Source organism: Homo sapiens, chromosome 3 (genome assembly GCF_000001405.40).
Source record: "Homo sapiens chromosome 3, GRCh38.p14 Primary Assembly".
NCBI lineage: Eukaryota > Metazoa > Chordata > Mammalia > Primates > Hominidae > Homo > Homo sapiens.
This window is the reverse complement of record NC_000003.12, coordinates 57,458,751-57,480,636: the sequence shown is the minus strand read 5'-3', so window position 1 is coordinate 57,480,636 and position 21,886 is coordinate 57,458,751. Positions and strand designations below refer to the sequence as shown.

At 37.8% G+C, this 21,886-nt stretch overlaps 1 protein-coding gene and 1 non-coding gene across 10 annotated transcripts in view; both read left to right on the top strand.

Annotated features, from left to right (window-relative positions):
* The window catches only part of DNAH12 (dynein axonemal heavy chain 12), a 262,335-nt gene that overhangs the window by 75,398 nt on the left and 165,051 nt on the right, over positions 1–21,886 (top strand). For all 9 annotated transcript variants that reach the window (XM_047447667.1, XM_011533468.2, XM_047447668.1 and 6 more), the window contains 7 exons: positions 7,966–8,091; positions 9,031–9,165; positions 10,001–10,194; positions 11,658–11,901; positions 17,762–17,947; positions 18,948–19,148; positions 20,851–21,045. In XM_047447667.1, the coding sequence (XP_047303623.1) occupies positions 7,966–8,091; positions 9,031–9,165; positions 10,001–10,194; positions 11,658–11,901; positions 17,762–17,947; positions 18,948–19,148; positions 20,851–21,045 (1,281 nt within the window). The remainder of the gene's footprint in view (positions 1–7,965; positions 8,092–9,030; positions 9,166–10,000; positions 10,195–11,657; positions 11,902–17,761; positions 17,948–18,947; positions 19,149–20,850; positions 21,046–21,886) is intronic.
* LOC124906353 (small nucleolar RNA U13) lies at positions 10,387–10,492 on the top strand. The gene has a single exon (XR_007096320.1). It is a non-coding gene; the product is annotated as a small nucleolar RNA U13 (small nucleolar RNA).

Below are 21,886 nucleotides of genomic sequence, written 5' to 3'. Positions count from 1 at the left end.
TTGGTCTAAAATTCTTCTTTTGTTGTGTCTCTTCCCGGCTTTGGTATCAGGATGATGCTGGCCTCATAAAATGAGTTAGGGAGGATTCCCTCTTTTTCTATTGATTGGAATAGTTTCAGAAGGAATGGTACCAGCTCCTCCTTGTACCTCTGGTAGAATTCGGCTGTGAATCCATCTGGTCCTGGACTTTTTTTGGTTGGTAAGCTATTAATTATTGCCTCAATTTCAGAGCCTGTTATTGGTCTATTCAGAGATTCAACTTCTTCCTGGTTTGGTCTTGGGAGGGTGTATGTGTCGAGGAATTTATCCATTTCTTCTAGATTTTCTAGTTTATTTGCGTAGAGGTGTTTATAGTATTCTCTGATGGTAGTCTGTATTTCTGTGGGATCGGTGGTGACATCCCCTTTATCATTTTTTATTGCATCTATTTGATTCTTCTCTCTTTTCTTCTTTATTAGTCTTGCTAGCGGTCTATCAATTTTGTTGATCTTTTCAAAAAACCAGCTCCTGGATTCATTGATTTTTTGAAGGGTTTTTTATGTCTCTATTTCCTTCAGTTCTGCTCTGATCTTAGTTGTTTCTTGCCTTCTGCTAGCTTTTGAATGTGTTTGCTCTTGCTTCTCTAGTTCTTTTAATTGTGATGTTAGGGTGTCAATTTTGGACCTTTCCTGCTTTCTCTTGTGGGCATTTAGTGCTATAAATTTCCCTCTACACACTGCTTTGACTGTATCCCAGAGATTCTGGTATGTTGTGTCTTTGTTCTCGTTGGTTTCAAAGAACATCTTTATTTCTGCCTTCATTTCGTTATGTACCAGTAGTCATGCAGGAGCAGGTTTTTCAGTTTCCATGTAGTTGAGTGGTTTTGAGTGAGTTTCTTAATCCTGAGTTCTAGTTTGATTGCACTGTGGTCTGAGAGATAGTTTGTTATAATTTCTGTTCTTTTACATTTGCTGAGGAGTGCTTTACTTCCAACCGTGTGGTCAATTTTGGAATAAGTGCTGTGTGGTGCTGAGAAGAATGTATATTCTGTTGATTTGGGGTGGAGAGTTCTGTAGATGCCTATTAGGTCCGCTTGGTGCAGAGTTGAGTTCAATTTCTGGATATCCTTGTTAACTTTCTGTCTCATTGATCTGTCTAATGTTGACAGTGGGGTTTTAAAGTCTCCCATTATTATTGTGTGGGAGTCTAGGTCTCTTTCTAGGTCTCTAAGGACTTGCTTTGTGAATCTGGGTGCTCCTGTATTGGGTGCATATATATTTAGGATAGTTAGCTCTTCTTGTTGAATTGATCCCTTTACCATTATGTAATGGCCTTCTTTGTCTCTTTTGATCTTTGTTGGTTTAAAGTCTGTTTTATCAGAGACTAGGATTGCAACCCCTGCCTTTTTTTGTTTTCCATTTGCTTGGTAGATCATCCTCCATCCCTTTATTTTGAGCCTAGTGTGTCTCTGCACGTGAGATGGGTTTCCTGAATACAGCACACTATGGGTCTTGACTCTATCCAATTTGCCAGTCTGTGTCTTTTAATTGGAGCATTTAGCCCATTTATATTTAAGGTTAATATTGTTATGTGTGAATTTGTTCCTGTCATTAAGATGTTAGCTGGTTATTTTGCTCGTTACTTGATGCAGTTTCTTCCTAGCCTCGATGGTCTTTACAATTTGGCACGTTTTTGCAGTGGCTGGTACTGATTGTTCCTTTCCATGTTTAGCGCTTCCTTCAGGAGCTCTTTTAGGGCAGGCCTGGTGGTGACAAAATCTCTCAGCATTTGCTTGTCTGTAAAGTATTTTATTTCTCCTTCACTTATGAAGCTTAGTTTGGCTGGATATGAAATTCTGGGTTGAAAATTCTTTTCTGTAAGAATGTTGAATATTGGCCCCCACTCTCTTCTGGCTTATAGAGTTTCTGCCAAGAGCTCAGCTGTTAGTCTGATGGGCTTCCCTTTGTTGGTAACCCAACCTTTCTCTCTGGCTGCCCTTAACATTTTTTCCTTCATTTCAACTTTGGTGAATCTGACAATTACGTTTCTTGGAGTTGCTCTTCTCGAGGAGTATCTTGGTGGAATTCTGTGTATTTCCTGAATTTGAATGTTGGCCTGCCTTGCTAGGTTGGGGAAGTTCTCCTGGATAATATCCTGCAGAGTGTTTTCCAACTTGGTTCCATTCTCCCCGTCACTTTCAGGTACACCAATCAGACGTAGATATGGTCTTTTCACATAGTCCCATATTTCTTGGAGACTTTGTTTATTTCTTTTTATTCTTTTTTCTCTAAACTTCTCTTCTAGCTTCATTTCATTCATTTGATCTTCCATCACTGATACCCTTTCTTCCAGTTGATCGAATCGGCTACTGAGGCTTGTGGATTCGTCACGTAGTTCTTGTGCCTTGGTTTTCAGCTCCATCAGGTCCTTTAAGGACTTCTCTGCATTGGTTATTCTAGTTAGCCATTCGTCTAATTTTTTTTCAAGGTCTTTAACTTCTTTGCCATGGGTTCGAACTTCCTCCTTTAGCTCAAAGTAGTTTGATCATCTGAAGCCTTCTTCTCTCAACTCGTCAAAGTCATTCTCCGTCCAGCTTTGTTCCATTGCTGGTGAGGAGCTGCATTCCTTTGGAGAAGGAGAGGCGCTCTGATTTTTAGAGTTTACAGTTTTTCTGCTCTGTTTTTTCCCCATCTTTGTGGTTTTATCTACCTTTGGTCTTTGATGATGGTGACGTACAGATGGGGTTTTGGTGTAGATGTCCTTTCTGTTTGTTAGTTTTCCTTCTAACAGTCAGGACCCTCAGCTGCAGGTCTGTTGGAGTTTGCTGGAGGTCCACTCCAGACCCTGTTTGCCTGGGTATCAGCAGCGGTTGCTGCAGAACAGCGGATATTGGTGAACAGCAAGTGTTGCTGCCTGATCGTTCCTCTGGAAGTTTTGTCTCAGAAGAGTACCCGGCCGTGTGAGGTGTCAGTCTGCCCCTACTGGGGGGTGCCTCCCAGTTAGGCTACTCGGGGGTCAGGGACCCACTTGAGGAGGCAGTCTGTCCATTCTCAGATCTCCAGCTGCATGCTGGGAGAACCACTATTCTCTTCAAAGTTGTCAGACAGGGACATTTAAGTCTGCAGAGGATTCTGCTGCCTTTTGTTTGTCTGTGCCCTGCCCCTGGAGGTGGAGTCTACAGAGGCAGGCAGGCCTCCTTGAGCTGCCGTGCACTCCACCCAGTTCGAGCTTCCCGGCCACTTCGTTTACCTAGTCAAGCCTCGGCAATGGCGGGCGCCCCTCCCCCAGCCTCTCTGCTGCCTTGCAGTTTGATATCAGACTGCTGTGCTAGCAATGAGTGAGGCTCCGTGGGTGTAGGACCCTCTGAGCCATGCACAGGATATAATCTCCTGGTGTGCCGTTTGCTAAACCCGTTGGAAAAGCGCACTATTAGGGTGCGAGTGACCTGATTTTCCAGGTGCCGTCTGTTACCCCTTTCTTTGACTGGGAAAGGGAATTCTCTGACCCCTTGCACTCCCCAGGTGAGGCGATGCCTCACCCTGCTTTGGCTCATGCTCAGTGCGCTGCACCCACTGACCTGCACCTACTTTCCGACACTCCCCGGTGAGATGAACCTGGTACCTCAGTTGGAAATGCAGAAATCACCCATCTTCTGCGTCGCTCACACTGGGAGCTGTAGACTGGAGCTGTTCCCATTTGGCCATCTTGGCTCCACCCCCTTAGCTTTGAATTTCTTTAGTTTCACTAATTTTGTGTATGTCCTTAAACAATATAGATTTTTAAAAATATTTTTTCTTTTATAGTTTCTGCATTTAATAGTATGTTTTTACCTTTTCCAGCACAAGATGATGTACCTATTTACCTATATTTTACTCTTATTCTTTGTTTAAGAAACTTTTAAAAATGTTAAACAACACATATACCAAAATTACGTAAAACATGAATTGTACAATTTGGAATGTTCTAAAGTAAACAGCCAGTAATTACCACCTAGGAAAATAAATAGAACCTTGCCAACGCTCTAGAAGCCCATCATAATCCCTTGTCTTCTGGATGTTAGTGCTATTCTGATTTTTTTTATTTTTTATTTTTTTGAGACAGAGTCTCGCTCTGTCACCCAGGCTGGAGTGCAGTGGTGAGGTTTTGGCTCACTGCAACCTCCGCCTCCTGGGTTCAAGTGATTCTCCTGCCTCAGCCTCCTGAGTAGCTGGGAGTACAGGCACCCGCCACCACGCCTGGCTAATTTTTGTATTTTTAGTAGAGACGGGGCTTCACCATATTGGCCAGGCTGGTCTCGAACTCCTGACTTTATGATCTGCCCGTCTCAGCCTCCCAAAGTGCTAGGATTACAGGCATGAGCCACTGCGCCTGGCCTATTCTGATTTTTATAGTGATTACTTCCTTGTTTTTTTTTATAGTTATACAACTTAAACTTGCATTTCTAATCAATATAGTTAATTTCTTCTGATTTTGGTCTTTATATAAAGGGAATCATACCATTTATATTCTTTTGCCTCTCATCAATGTTATGTTAGTAATGTCATTGTTCCTAAACTTTAGCTGATTTTCATTGCAGTCTAGTATTCCACTCCATATTGTATCCATTCCACATTGTATACAATAATTTATTTTAAAAATTTTACTGTTCTGGATATTTGGTTGTTTCTGCTTTTGATATTACTGGCAATGCTTCTGTGAACATTTTAACACATGTATCCCAGTGCACACATTCATTCATTTCTTCCAGGTGTTATAAGATATGCTTTTATTCACCTTTACTAATTAAGGCAAAATTCTTTTCTAAGTAGTTCCAGTTTTAGACTCCTATTAGCAGTGCACAAAGTGTCTATTATTTTAACATTCTTACTTGCAATTGTGAGATGGATTAAATTTTGCCAGTCTATTGGGTGAAAGTTATGGTATTTTCAATTTGCATTTTCCTAAAAAGAAATGAATTTGAACACTTTTCATATGCTTATTGGCTATTTGGAGTGCCTCTTTTGTGAAATGATAGTACATACATTTTGCTCATTTATTTTTTTGGGTTATGTACCTTTTCCTTATTGATTTGTAGCAGTTAAAAAAGTGGTAAAATGAACATAACACAAAATTTACCATTTTAACCATTTTTAAGTATACAGTTCAATGTAGTAATTTTTAATATATTATTAGGTATCTTTTTATTCACTCTGTAATTTAACTTTTTAATGGTGTTTTTGATGAACAGAAGTCCTTAATTTTAATGCAGTTAAATGGAGCAGTCTTTTATTTTATAATAAATGGAGCAATCTTTCTTTCTTTCTTTGTCTCTCTCTTTCTCTCTTTCTTTCTTCCTGTTGGAGACAAGGCCTTGCCATGTTGCCTTAATTTTAGTGCAGTTAAATGGAGCAGTATTTTATTTTATACCTAGTGCTTTCTGTGTTTTATTTAAGAAATCCTCTCCTACCTTGGTTCAAAGACATTTTTCTTCCACCCTTTTCTAGAAGCTGTTTAGTTTTGCTTTTGAGATTTAGGTTTCAATCCTGAAAATGTATTTCTGTAAATAATGTGAGGTCCAATTTAAATATTTTCCCATATAGATGAGCAAATACATATTTATTGAAGAGACCATCCCCACTGTGTCCGTATATGTGTAGATCTGTTTTGAGGCAGCTTGTTCTGTTCCATTGGCCTTTTTTTTTTTGAGAAAGAGTCTCGCTCTGTCGCTAGGCTGGAGTGCAATGGCGCGATCCCAGCTCACTGCAACCTCTGCCTCCCGGGTTCAAGAGATTCTCCTGTCTCAGCCTCCTGAGTACCTGGGACTACAGGCACGCGCCACCACGCCCAGCTAGCACCACCACACCCAGCTAATTTTTGTATTTTTAGTAGAGACGGGGTTTCACCATGTTGGCCAGGATGGTCTCCATCTCTTGACCTCATGATCTGCCCGACTTGGCCTCCCAAAGTGTTGGGATTACAGGCGTGAGCTACCATGCTCGACCAAAATTTATTTTTATATACTAATTTAATACCCATTGCTCAATTTTTCTTTTAAAATTTTCTATTTAAAAATTTGAACTTTAGGCCCTGCACAGTGGCTCATGCCTAAAATCCCAGCACTGTGGGAGGCCGACGTGGGTGGATCACCTGATGTCAGGAGTTTGAGACCAGCCTGACCAACATGGTGAAATCCCGTCTCTGCTAAACACAAAAAGTTAGCTGGGCGTGGTGGCACATGCCTGTAATCCCAGCTACTTGGGAGGCTGAGGCAAGAGAATCGCTTGAACCTGGGAGGCGGAGGTTGCAGTGAGCCGAAATTGCACCATTGCACTCCAGCCTGGGCAACAAGAGTGAAACTCTGTCTCAAAAAAAAATTTTTAACTTTAATATTTTTATATATTTTAAATTTCTCTTCTTAATTTTAATAGTTTATCTGAAGATTATTTTGGAATGTCTTCATATACCATTATATAACTTGCAAATGATGACAGTTCTGTTTTTCCTGATCAAATGTTACACATTTGCAAAACTTTACTTTCTTTGCAACAATGGACTGTCTGGGACTCTAGTACAATGTTGAATAGCAGTGGATGGCAGATTTCCCATCTTTATCCCAACCTTAAGGGGAAAGCTTTCAAGATTTCACTATTAAGTATGACATTTGTTGTAGGTTTTATACAGGTACTTTTGCCAGATTAGTGAATTCCCTTCTATTGCTGATGTGCTACTACGTTTTTTGAAAAGAAAAATTAGTATGAGTGGACTTTGAATTTCACTACATGCTTTTTTGCATCTACTGTGTTGATCATATGCTTTTTCTCTTTAATCTATTAATATAACGAATTACACGGATTGCTTTTTATTTTAAAGTTTTATTTCTATGTGCATTGTATATACATAATATATAGAATGTACAAAATACATATTTAATGTTATTTTCAATACATAATTTTATATCTATATTATATATATAGATGTATGTATATATATGTATACATATGTATAATATAAAATCAAAAACCTCAAATTTGCCTTTGAATCTGTATTTCAATTCTTAAAAATTAGTACTACAGTACAGCTTATAGAGCAATGAAAGATATAGAGGGTAAAAATATTCAACCTATCTACTCAGATAATCTATTGTTTTAAGAGTTTTTTTTCTTTGCAACTCACCTCCAACTTTTTTTTTTTTTGAGACGGAGTCTCACTCTGTCGCCCAGGCTGGAGTGCAGTGGCACAATCTCGGCCCACTGCAACCTCCACCTCCTGGGTTCAAGCAATTCTCCTGCCTCAGCCTCCAAGTAGCTGGGACTACAGACGTGCGTCACCAAGCCCAGCTAATTTTTGTATTTTTAGTAGAGATGGGGGTTCGTCACGTTGGCCAGGCTGGTCTCTAACTCCTGACCTCAGGTGATCCACCCGCCTCAGCTTCCCAAAGTGTTGGGATTACAGGTGTGAGCTACCGTACCTGGCCAACTCACCTTCAACTCTTTCTGAACTATTACATACCGCAATATTCTAGACTATTGCATACAGTAACATGTGAAGTAGGCCAAAAAGGTGGTGATGTCAGTGAAGATACAAAACAAAAGAAAAGATACTAAAATCTTTGTCATCAAAGATTCAAAAATAAAATATTTATAAGAATAAAATAATTTAAAATCCTTTAAAATCAAAATTAAAGGACTTCTGAAGATTTAATTATATTTTTCAGTCATAAACAAGGGAGGACCAAAAGTTCCTTTATGCTAAATCAACTGTAAGTGAAAACTTTTTAAAAGCCTTATTTCTAGCATAAAAGTATACAATTATGTGGCATGAAGCAAGATAAATAATACTGCAGCTATTGAAATACCCATCTGGTTTGGGTGATATATAAAATATCAGTTAATAATCTGAGTCAAACTGAAATCTGAAAGGGTATTAGAGATTGTTGTTGGTTCTTCTCTTTTTCATAATGATGTAGATTTTCTATATGACATATTATATCCAGAGTTTCTTTTGTAGGAATCTAAACGCCAAATGAGTTACTTTTTAGATGTTTTCCTATTTCCTCAAGAAGACTTAGCTTTAAATGCAACTGTCCTCATGTGGCCTAGGAAAATTAATCCCATCTTTGATGAAAATGATGAGGTAAATATATTTTTCAGTATGTATTTTTGTAATCTGACATTTCAAGCACATCATTCACATTTAATTTTCATATCTCCTGGCCATCTAACTTTAAAAGTAATTTTGTGTGTCAATATGAGTTTGAGACTGGCCACACTTATGGCCCTCTAGGCTTAAGACAAGCTGTTAGGCTTAACTCACAAGGTCTGGTAAGTAGTGGGGCTGACATTTAGAAAGTCAGAACTATTATATAAATTAATAATAGAAACACTTAACTGAGAAAGTGCTTTCCATTTATTCAATTATTTAACTCTCATAAAAATCCCACATGCTCCCATTTCTTCCATTTTATAGATGAGAAATATGAGACTCAGAGAAATTAAATAGTTCAATATCACAGTGATAAAATTTACAATTTTATATCAGACTGAATATATTTCAGATATTGAAAAAGTCCTAATGTAAATCAGTTTAACCTGAATTGGGAGGTAAGATGGTATTGTAATAAAAAGCATGGCCTTCAATCAGATAAACCAAGATTCTAATCCAGATTTTGATTTTTATGATTTTGTGAACATGAACGTGACTTCCATAAGATTCAATTTCTTTTCTCTGAAATGAGAATAATAATACCAGTAATAATATAGGTAAGATATTTAATAGTTCTTGATACATGGCACATGCTCAATAAATGGTAATTTTATTATTATCCTAGAATCTGTTAAATAAAGCATTTAATTAATGAATACAAGTTGTTAAAGTCACTTTGGAGATCTAGGAATGTTTTTCTGTGTGGTTTATTCTTTGCATTTTTATATTAGTAATTATAGGCATTGTTTTATTTTTGTACTCATTTTTACTTCTCTGATGGTTTTTATTATTATACACAGTATTTGGATTTCTGACTTGATAATTCTTTGTTACAGATTAACTAACATGATCAAATTGTCTTTTAAAAAGCTAATTGAGAATGCTAAACATAAAAAAGAAAATGAACTAATGGCCAAGAGAGAGAAACTTATTTTGGAAATAGAAAAAGAATCACGCCGCATGGAGGAGTTTACAGAATTTGCAGAGCTGGAGCGCATGCAACAGGTCTGATAAATATATGAGACAATAGCTATGGCCAGCCCATAGAGTCATATAGGACATGTTAACATAAATTTAAAAGTATAGAAAAATATGTTTACTATTTTTTTATGTTTACTCTATATTTTTCTATATATTACATATATACATATATATTTATCTAATACTATAATATATAGTAAAATACATAAATATGTATTTAAATACTTTATATGTAGTCTCAGCCTCCTGAGTAGCTGGGACTAACAGGCATGTGCCACCATGCCCGGCTAATTTTTTGTATTTTCTTGTAGAGATGGGGTTTTGCCATGTTGCCCAGGCTGGCAAACAAAGACCTGACTCTTAGGCCCAAAACTGGAACTATGTTATCTTTCTTGTGACTCAGTTCTCTATTTGTAGAGTAGACATAATTGTACCTTTTGCTCTCAATCATAGTTATGTTGTGAAGTTAATATTTAAAGTTGCTGTATAGGCCAGGCGCAGTGGCTCACTCCTGTAATCCTAGCACTTTGGGAGTTTGAGGTGGGCAGATCACCTGAGGTCAGGAGTTCGAGACCAGCCTAGCCAACATGGCAAAACCCCGTCTCTACTAAAAATACAAAAATTAGGTGGGTGTGGTGGTCCGCATCTGTAGTCCCAGCTACTTGGTAGGCTGAGGTGGGAGGATCACTTGAACCAGCGGGGCAGAGGTTGCAGTGAGCCCAGATCACGCCACTGCACTCCAGCCTAAAAATAAACTTGTTGTATAAATACAAGGACATATTGTACACAGTATCATAGGATTTTATTTTTATAACATTACTTGAATTTTTTTTAAGACAAAAAACTTATTTACTTTCAGTATGTGACAGATGTAAGACAACTACAAAAACGTATTCAGGAATCTGAAGAAGCAGTGCAGTTTATTAATAAAGAAGAGGAACTTTTCAAGTGGGAATTGACAAAATATCCTGAACTGGATAAATTAAAAGTTAACATTGAGCCCTATCAGAAGTTTTTTAATTTTGTTTTGAAGTGGCAGCGATCAGAAAAACGGTAATTGCTGGTAATGTAATAAAAATCAAGCAAATGATAGAAAATAATTTGTAAAATATAAATTGATTTTTTTTTTGGTTAAGTGTTTAAAAGTAGGATTTATATGTCCATTTGAAAGAGAACCAGGTACCATGTAGGAGAAACATCCAGTGCTGCTAAGGTCCCACTAACCTTACTAATACAATATCTGAGATCCTTTTCTGGTTTATGAGCATAATGATTGGATTTTCATGCTCATGTGTGAGAGATATGCCTCCCTCAAACGTTGTTACAATGTCGGCACATTACCCTTCTGACATGAAAAATATATATATATAATATATGAGTTGTCATTTTGGTTTCTGAGAGTCAATTCCCTTTTTAATACAATAGATTAATTTCACTAATGTTTACCCCCAAAATTAGAAGTATGGAGTCAAATTGCATTTTATTTTTATTTTTGTTTTATAATTTCAACTTTTATTTTAGATTCGGTAACATGTGCAGGTTTGTTTCGTGGGTATATTGCATGACACTGATATTTGGGGTACAAATGATCCTATCTCCCAGGTAGTGAGCACAGCACCTAATAGGTAGTTTCTCAGCCCTTGCTCCCCTCCCTCTCTCCCACCTCTAGTAGTTCCCAGTGTCTGTTGTTCCCATCTCTATGTTCATGTATACCCAGGGCTTAGCTCCCACTTCAAAGTGAGAACATGAGGTATTTGGTTTTCTGTTCCTCCATCAATTTGCTTAGGATAATGGCCTTCAGCTGCATCCATGTTGCTGCAAAGGGCATGATTTCATCCTTTTTTAAGGTTGCATTGTATTCCATGGTGTATATGTACCAAATTTTTTTTATTCAATCCACTGTTGATGGGCACCTAGGTTGACTCCATGTCTTTGCTATTGTGAATAGTGCTGTGATGAACAGACGAGTACATGTGTCTTTTTGGCAGAATGATTATTTTCCTTTGGGTATATACCCAGTAATGGGATTGCTGGGTCAAATGGTAGTTCTGTTTTAAATTCTTTGAAAAATCTCCAAACTACTCTCCACAGTGGCTCAGCTAATTTACAGTCCCATCAATAGTGCAACAGTGTATAAGCATTCCCTTTTCTCCACAGCATCTGTTTTTTGTTTTTTTGTTTTACTTTTTAATAATAGCCATTCTGGCTGATGGGAGATGGTCTCTCATTGTGGTTTGATTTGCATTTCTCTAATGTGAACCTGCATTTTATGTGGGTACTGTTAATCATCCATTTATAATCTGATACATATTTTAGCACATGCAGCATAGTCAAAATGATTATTTTAGTTCTGTCTTTTCTACCATCAGCTCTACCTGTGTGCCTGAGAAAAACTGTTAACAGCTCTTGCCCTCATTTTTCTCTCTTAAAAAACAAGGGGTCTAGCCTAAAGGATCTCTAAGGCCCCTTCAAACTTCAAAAGTCTGAGTTTAATAATATTTTTTCTTTCCATTCAGGTGGATGGATGGAGGGTTTTTGGACCTCAATGGGGAAAGCATGGAGGCTGATGTGGAAGAGTTTTCCCGAGAAATTTTTAAGACACTAAAATTTTTCCAAACGAAGCTAAAGAAAGAATTACAAGAAAAAAGAAAGGCAGCAAGAAAACGGTCTTTGGAAGAAGAGAAAATTGAAGAAGAACCAAAAGACAATGCTACTATTACTATGTGCAGTACAGTCATGGAACAGATAAAAGCTTTTAAGGTATAAATATATATAATAACATTTTAATATTATAGCTATCTTCTCAACTTTTCTGTTACCTAATATATAAATTATAAAGCCTATCTTCTGGTTTTACATGTTTATTATTTATTATTATTAATAATTTTTGAGACAGGGTCTTGCTCTATTTCCCAGGCTGGAGTGTAGTGGTGACTCACTGCCACTGCCACCTCCTGGGCTCAAGCGATCCTCCCACCTCAGCCTCCTGAGTAGCTGGTGCTACAGGTGTGTACCACCATGCCTGGCTAATTTTTTGAAGAGATGGGGTTTTGCTGTGTTGCCCAGGCTGGTCTCAAACTCCTGTGCTCAAGCAGTCTGTCCACCTTGGCCTCCCAAAGTGCTGGGATTACAGGCATGAGCCACCACACCTGGCCTATTATTACTTTTTAGATAGGGTCTCACTCTGTTGACTGTGCAGTGGCATAGTCATAGCTCACTGCAGCCTCAGACTCCTAGGCTCAAGAATAAGACACTATTTCTTCCCCTTTGGCTAATGAATTGGGTCTCTGTCACTTGTAATCAAAGGAGTATGGCCAAATGAAGGTACTGAGGAGAAACAATCAGAAAAAAATAAGATTTTAAATTCCTCTGCTATGCCTCAGCCTCTTGGTCAAGCTCTGGACTCAAAAGCCTTCATCTAAGCATTTTGCAAATGCTAAAATTTTTTAATGTATTCACTCCCACCTCTGTTCTAGGCATGGGTACTTGTGACAGAGCTGAGTGATTGGTTTTGGGAGGAAGTGGTAAGGGCAAGAGAGGGCATTTTATTCCTCTCATCTTTTGAATTACATCTGTTTGCATCTTTGATGTTTTGGTGTCTCATTCCCACAACTTTAGCTCCTCATCATGAAGCACCACTGTGGAGTGTAGGAAAGGCTGGTTAGGTGGTGAATGGCAGCCATATTTGGGGCAGATCAAGGAGAATACACATATAAAGCCAGATCTGGCAAAACTGGGGCAAAGAATTCCTCTGGCCCAAGAAAGGCAGTAGAAGATTGCTCAGACCTATTAGGGCAGATTGCATACTTCCTGAAAATGACACTAAGTCATTTTCCTATGGAAAACATAGGAAGAGTATACCATTGTTTATAATTTACTATAATAAAACTAAACAAACATAATAAAATAGCCTACCATTAATTCAGCATAATCCAAACTTTGAAGTGAGGTTATAACTACTTTTTCTAGATGAATACATTAAAAAATTTTAGCATTTGCAAAATGCTTAGATGAAGGCTTTTGAGTCCAGAGAAATTGTTGACCTATGGATTCTGAATCTTAAGAATTACTCAAGGCCAGGCATGGTGTCTTATGCCTGTAATTCCAGCACTTTGGGAGGCTGAGGCAGGCAGATCACCTGATCTGAGGTCAGGAGTTCGAGACCAGCCTGGCCAATATAGTGAATCCTCTCTACTAAAAATACAAAAAATTAGTTGAGCATGGTGGTGCATACCTGTAATCCCAGCTACTTGGGAGGCTGAGGGAGGAGAATCATTTGAACCCGGGAGGCAGAGGTTGCAGTGAGCCGAGATCATGCCTCTGCATGCCCAGTCTGGGCAATAGAGCGAGACTCCAAAATTACTCAAAAAAACCTTGATAGAGCTATTCTCATCATCAAGTGCTAATGAAGAGAAATAGAAAGGTTTGGAAGCAGGCTGGGTATAGCGGATGACACCTGTAACCTGTAATCCCAGTGCTTTGGGAGGCCAAGGCAGGAGGATCATTCGAGGCCAGAAGTTCAAGACCAGCCTGGGTGACATAGTGAGACCCTACCTCTACAAAAAATAAAAAATTAGCCAGGCACGGTAAAAAAAATTCAGCTACACCTGAAGTCCCAGCTACTCGGGAGGCTGAGGTGGGAGGATCACTTAAGCCGAGGAGTTTGAGGTTGCAGTGAGCTATGATTATACTGCCGCACTCCTGGGCACAACAGAGTAAGACCCTGTCTCAAAAAAAAATAAGGGCATAAGTTTACTAGGTCAGACCACTTAGCCTATACTAAGTGCAGCAACACAGGGTAACAGTTTACTGGGAAGGATTTGGAACCACACTGTTTAGTTATAGCACAGTTCTCCACTTGGCAGTGGCATACCTTGAGCAAGATATTTAGCCACTTGTGCCTCGGTCCTCTCATTTATAAAGAGAGAATAAGAACAGTTTTTTTGACAGTCAGTAATACATCCTTAAATTTCCACTGTCAGCATGCCCAGAGTGCAAACTCTGTGATTGGATTCAAGCATTGTTCCTGTCTATGTCTATTCATCTCAGAGATTCCATGGCCGTCTGATTTTTTTAACTTAAAAATTATTTTCAATGTTGAATACATTTGCGTGGTCTAAAAAATATAAAAAGAGACATCTGAAAAGTCTCCTCATGGTTCTCACCTGTATAACTCAGGTGATCAATGTTATTACCTTCTTGTGTATAGTTCCAGAGTTTTATTACATATATAACAATGTGAGTATATATTCTTATCCTTCTATCTTTTTACATGAAGTGTAGCATACAATGTATATTATTTTCTTTCTTTGTTTTGCTTAATTTATCTTGGAGACCTTTTCTTCTTGTATATAGGGAGCTTCTTCATTTTTTTCACACCTATATAATGTATGACTAATCTGGTGTGTGTGTGTGTGTGTGTGTGTGAATTGCATGTGTTTGAAGGTGTGACTGCAGGGTAAATTGTGGAAGAGTAAATGCCAGGTTAAAATCTACAGTTGAATTACCCTCCATAGAAGTTATACCAATATATACTCTCATCAACCTTCATAACAAAATATCATCAAACTTTAGGTTTTTGCTACTCTACTAGGAGAATTTTCATTTCTCTTACTGCAAGTAAAATTTTAAGCATATTTTCATATATTTCATATATTTAAGAGTGTTTTATATTTCTTTTCCTGTAAACTGTTTTAACTTACCTATGCCTATTTTTCTGTTGAATTATTGACCTTTTTCTTATTGATTTCTTTTCTTGTATATATAGGAGATTAGGCTTTGTCTGTGATGTGAATATTTATTATTTGCTTTTTGACCTTGCTTATGATAGCTTTTGCCTTGCAGAACCCTTTTAATTTTATGTAATTATTTTTATTCTTTTCCTTTATGGCTCTTGGGTTCTGAACTGTAGTTTAAAATGCCTTCCCCATGTCAAAATATTTTTTTCTAATACTCTTATAGTTTGTTATTTGTTCATATTTCATTCAGGATATTTGAGGTTATGTTCAGGAAGGATCTTGGTCTTAGTTTTCTTGTAATGTCTTTGTCAGATTTTGGTATCAGGGTTATGTTGGCCTTATAAAACAAATTGGGAAGTTTTATTTTCTCTATTTCTGAAAGAGTTTTTTTATAAATTGATATTATTTCTTTCTTATTTTAGAGAAACATTCACTCATGAAACCATTTAGCCTGACGTTTTGTTTGTAGGAAAGGTTTTTAAAACAGACTCTCTCTATATATATATTTTTCAAGTACTTATTTATTTCTTCTTCATATTCCATGAGGACCACGGGTTAGCTAAGTCTCTGCTCCCAGTTGCAGTCTTGTTCTGCTCCTGAGTTTTCTAACTTCCAGGACACAGGCTATGTCCTGAGCTAATGTGGGCCAATCTCGCGTTAGAGAGAAAGAGCAAGGGCTGAGCTAAACCATGTACCTGAGTTTAGATCTTCCACTCAGCTGTGACATACTTCATATCCACCCATATTACATTGGCTGAAGCAAGTCCTGTGCCAATTCCCCCTCTAGGGGACGGAAAAGAGAATTTCTTTAATAGATATAGGAGCTATTCAGATTTTGTGTTTAATTTTGGTAGATTGTAGTTTTAAGGAATTTGTCCATTTCTTCTAAGTCATTGATTTTGTCGCCATAAAGTTGCTAATAACATTTCTTTATTATCTTTTAAATGTCTGTAGAATCTATAGTGCTAACTCCTTTTTAATTCTAAATATTGATTATTTTAATTTTCTCTCCTTTTTGTTGATCAGTCTAGTTAGGAATTTAGTTGTTTATTGTTGGTCAGAGAGCTCACATATCCCTGTCTGGTTAGAGTCAGTTACTGGTTCTTTGCTGCTTCTGTTTGTGGAGATCATGGTTCCCTGTTTGCTGTTGTTTTTGCTGGATGTACATCTGTCTTTGCATTGAAGTATTATTTATTCCAGTGTTTTTTGTCTGGCTTGTTTTGGTTTATATTGGATATATTTGCTTAGAGTTTCTTTACCGCTAGGTCACTGCTTCCTTTTCAGCTCCAAGTGGCACCTTAAGCCCAGGTTTGGCTTGGGTCTAGTACCTGATGGGAGCGCTGCCCTTAATGAATGCGGACGGTCCCACAGGGTATATTCTGGCAATGTGGGAAGCTGGCTAGGAGTTTGTGCCCAGGAGACCTGTGGGACAAACCTCCTACAGTGTGGTGCTGCAGAATAGCCACTCTGATTTGGCATCTTCTGTGGCTTACAGAGTAACATTTCCAGGGCTGGGGATGGTAGTGCCACTTCCTCCCTTTGTCTCTGCTTGTCCACAGGAATTATTTATCCCTTCAGGCACTGGCGTTGCTTCCTGTGGGTTAAGGCAGGGCAGGTCTCCTGCTAGGGAACCCAGGGTGGTGGGGTAGCTGGTTGTCCACTTTGACCTTGCTCTTATCAGGGTAGAAACAGTGAGTTGGGGGGAAATTTTCTGCCCTCTTGGTACCAGACAGAATAGAGGGAGGGGCAATGCAGATGTGGAAGTCCGATTCTCTTACTGTCTGCTCATCTGCTTGGAGTTTTTTCACTTTTGTGTGACCCAGCTACTCATGAGGCTACTCAGGAGTCTGTAATCCCAGTTACTTGGGAGGCTGAGGCAGGAGAATCTCTTGAATCCAGAAGGCGGAGGTTGCAGTGAGCCGAGATCGCATCACTGCACTCCAGCCTGGGGGACGGAGCAAGATTCTGTCTAAATAAATAAATAAAGAGTATGTCCTTTCTACTTTTTAGATGTTAAAACTTCACTTATTTAAAAAATACTTACTGAGTGCCTGTTATATTATGTTCTGATGAATTCTAGGGAATATGTGATGATAAGCAAAAACATGATGGTGATAACCAATGGAAGGTTAAAACGAAGTCCTTAACTAAGCAAAACAAAAAGTGTGCTAGTTTATGGTCCTCCAATTAAAAAAATTTACAATATTAAATTATTACTTATACAAAGTTAAAACATGACTCATATAAAAATAAAATAGGGGGCCAGGCATGGTGGCTTATACCTGTAATCCCAGCACTTTGGGAGGCCAAGGCAGGCGTCACTCAGCAGAGATAAAACATTGTTACATTTTGGGATTTGGGCACACATATTTTCCCCATTCATGCTATGTATGTGTGTTTATAACTATATATTATATATTTCTGCAAATAGTATATATAATGAATTTGAATTTCTAAAATAATACTTTTTTTTTTTTCTAAATAGAGACAAGTCCTCACTCTGTCACCCAGGCCGGAGTGCAGTATTGCAATCTTAGCTCACTGTAACCTCAAATTCCTGGGCTCAAGCAATCCTCCCACCCCAACCTCCCAAAGTGCTGGGATTACAGGCATGAACCATTGTGCCTGGCCCTTCATTCTTCTTGTTTACTCTTATAATTTTCCTGGCTATTTTTATATGCTTATTTTTGCAGGGAACTTTAGGTTCATTTTCTTAGTATCTCTCTCCTTCCAAATCTAATTGAGGTTTTGATTGTACTGATAGAAATATATTAAATAAATTGAAGAAATGTAACCCTTATATCATCAAGGCTTCATCTATGGAATCTATGTGTGTGGAAGTCAAATGAGTGACTCATAATTGTTTATATTTTTGCCATTAGGAATATATTCCTACTGTCTCCATTCTGTGCAATCCAGGAATGAGAGCTCGTCACTGGAAACAGATATCAGAAATTGTAGGCTATGACTTGACTCCAGACTCTGGAACTACACTGAGAAAAGTTTTAAAATTAAACCTTACCCCATACTTGGAACAATTTGAAGTGATAAGTGCAGGTGCAAGCAAGGTAAACATAAAGATCAACTGAAATACTTTATGTGATGACTTCGTTAATCAAGTAATCATAGTTTTTGTTGGGGTTGAATGTGTATAGTACTGGATAGCGCGGGAGGTGATGGGGGAGAGTGATAGAAGACCACTCTCCGGCTGGGTGCGGTAGCTCACATCTGTAATCCTAGCACTGTGGGAGGCCGAGACATGTGGATCACCTGAGGTCAGGAGTTTGAGACCAGCCTGGCCAACATGGTGAGACCCCATCCCTACTAAAAATACAAAAATTAGCTGGGCATGTCAGTGGGTGCCTGTAATCCCAGCTACTCAGGAGGCTGAGGCAGGAGAATTGCTTGAACCCGGGAGGTGGAGGTTGCAGTGAGCTGAGATCACACCTCTGCACTCCAGCCTGGGTGACAAGAGCGAAACTCTGTCTCAAAAACAAAACAAAACAAAACAAAACACTCTTTCCTCCCCCCCAAAGTGTGTACTTACTTGTCCTGAATCCAGACGAGAAATGACTCCTTTGATCTCCTCTTAATTCTGCCACATTCCAATGTCGTTGGATGATGTGCTAGTGTTGGTACATAATTTTTCCATTAAGAGTACTGTTGTATATGTGGCATGTGATATGTATGTGTTCTAGCAGGGTAAGTATGGCCCTAAAGAATGGGTTCTTGAAGTACACAGAAAACATCTTCAGACTATGGGCTGCCATAGAAAGGCCACTTCAGAGAAAGTCCTACAGGTATTTTATTCTCTTGTCCATTTTTAATATTGACAGCAGTAGTTTTCATAGCAAGTGAATTCTTTAAAACTACATAATCGTTCTTCTTAGGAATTTTTAAATTGTTGAAAAACCTTCTAACTTAAAAAGTTATACTGTACTCACAGATTATCTTAAGGAAATGATAATGTAATACATCAAATTCTTACTGAATTCACTAGGGAAAGTCAATATAGTAAATAAGATCCTTTCTTCACCATCCCGTTCTTTCTTCATTCCTCCGTTTTAGGAATTTTCATTAGAGAAAGCCATGAATACAATGATAGGAACTTGGGAAGATATTGCTTTTCATATAAGTCTGTATCGTGACACTGGAGTCTGTATTCTTTCTTCGGTGGATGAGATTCAGGCCATCCTTGATGATCAAATTATAAAAACTCAGACAATGAGAGGCTCACCTTTCATCAAACCATTTGAACATGAGATCAAGGTATGTTAAATGTGATAATCAGCTCTTGGTCATTTATACGGATTGCAATCCTATTACATATACGCTCTCATGGTAATAAGTAGCTTATTGGATGGTTTTTTAAGTGTTTATTCAAATCATAGACCTATAACTTTGATATTTTATTTCATAAAATACAAAATGATATTCAAAATTTAATATAGAAATATATACATCTGAGACATAAATGATTTTTAAAAGAAAAATGTCTTATTAAAATCTTCTCCAATGGCAGTGATAGACTTGAGAGGAAAACAGGTGGTATTACTTATTCTAACTTTAGAAAACCTAGACCCTGTTTTTTGTTGCATTCTTGTAACTTGTAGTAACCATACTTTAATTATAGTTGTAAACAGCTAGCATAAGGATCTTTTAGAGTAATTAATGAATTATTGTTCACTTGAGAAAAACAAATGGTATTTGAGGCTCCAAGATTATTTCATATCTTATTGGATATGAAAACTATCCTAACTGGGGACTATATAAATTGGGGAAAGACAACTGGATTTTTTACCCTGATATCAATTGATTTGAAACTATGTTTCAGATGCTGCTCTGGAACTTTGCACTTATTAACCCACTTGATCCCTGCAGCAGACCTTCAAAGTAGGCACTGTTATTATCTGTATTCATGGACAAGGAAACCAACATATAGGAGGATAGGCAATTTTTCTAAGTTCATCTAGCTAATAAGTGACAGAGCTGGGGTTCAAACCAAGGCAGTTTGGTTTTAATATGAGCATAAATAGAAGATTTATTTATTGTTTTATAGAAGATTTTGGCTGTCATTATTCGGAGAAAACAGAGTAATGTTCTTCCAAGAGGACATAAGGCTGGACATTATCCCAAGAAGCAGGCTAACCTAGCCTTTCCTGATAAGATATTACTTTTTTGTAGAAATTTACTTGTCTAACAAGGGGAATTTAGAAGACAAATTTAAAAGCTGTCGTAGAGATTTTTTAAAAATCGAAGATATGAGACAATCTCTTGACACATAGACCTTAGGCACATATTTAAGAACCAAAGAGAGATATTATATTAATGGTCTTCAGCTAATGAAATATCTTGTCATTTCTAGGGGATCTTGAGAATAAGGAGGCTTATTTCATTTTATTTTTCATTTCAGTTCATTTTTCTCCAAATTGTGTTGATGTAGAGTAGAGCAGGATTTCTCAACCTGTCACTGTTGATATTTTGGGCTCTATAATTCTCTGTGATGGGGGCTGTCTTCTACATTATAGGTTGTTTAACTGCATCTCTGGCCTCTACCCACTAGACATTAGTAGCATCTTCCCCCATCAGTTGTGACAACCAAAAATGTCTACAGACATTGTCAAATGTTCCCTGGGGTGGGAGGCAAAATTGCCTGTGGTTGATAACCACTGCTGGTAGAGAAGGATATATTCTTGGATGGTTTTGGGACTCCAGATGGCTCACCGAGAAATTAGGAAACTGGTCAAAATAATGTTACAGTCATTTCCAATTGTGAGTTCCAGTGATTTAGGAAAACTTCAGACCTCTTAGAATTTTTCTAAGCCTTTGTGAGACATACATAAGTAACCTTAAGCTGTGAGATGTTTGCACTTATTTAAAAATAATAGTAAATTTAAAATGTATTTTCCTTGCTATAATTTATAGCCTTTCTTTAATAACTAGAATTTAGTGCAGTATACTTTTCATTAAGGCCTGGGAGGACCGCTTGATTCGAATACAAGAAACAATTGATGAATGGTTAAAAGTACAAGCTCAATGGCTGTACTTAGAGCCCATCTTTTGTTCTGAGGATATCATGCAACAGATGCCAGAAGAAGGGCGTCAATTTCAGACAGTAGACAGACACTGGAGAGATATCATGAAGTTTTGTGCTAAAGATCCAAAGGTGAAGTGTTTGTTTTCTCTCTCACAGTAGGTGAACCTTTGTTTTTGGAAATTAAGTAAAACATGTGACTTTTTTTCTGATTATAAAAATTAAACTTGCTCATTGTATACAAACTGGAAAGTTCAGAAAAATATAAGAAAGCATAAAAGTATTAAAATAAGTTTACTTTTCAATTCATAAGATACATTGCTTGTAACTCTTTAGTATACCTGGTGGAGCTGCTTCAAATGTACATCTGATTCACATGCCTTCTACTATAAACACTCACTGCTCTCCTCCTCATAAAATAAATAGATAAATCAAATCAAATGGAGAGAGGAGAGAGTGAGAACAAGAGAGAGGGAGAGAGAATGAATAGTGTAGGTGACTCACCTGACATTCTACTAGTGACTCTGTGTACTCGGAGTGATGGGGAAGAATCTGCTGTTCTCTCCATTGGTCTCACTCAGTTCCTATGTCTCTCCCAGTAAATGTTGAAAGACAGACTATATATTTTTCATACACACAGTGAACATAGTCCATAGATATGCATCCACTTTTTCATCTGGTATTCAATTTAAGAAATAACAATTTATTCCCATGCTGAATGAAAAACTAGCTGTGCTGGACTTACTGAGAGTCAGTAGTACACTGAAATTTATGAGTTTTAAGGATTTTGCTTTACCTGTTGACTTCAGAATCTTTGTGAAACATGATTTCTTGTAGATCAGAGGTCAGCAATTTTTTTCTGCTAAGGTCCAAATAGTAAATATTTTAGGCTTTGCAGGACAGATCTTTCTTGCAGCTACTCAATTCTGTTGTCGTTGCAGTGAGAAAGCAGCCAGAGATAATCTGTAAATGA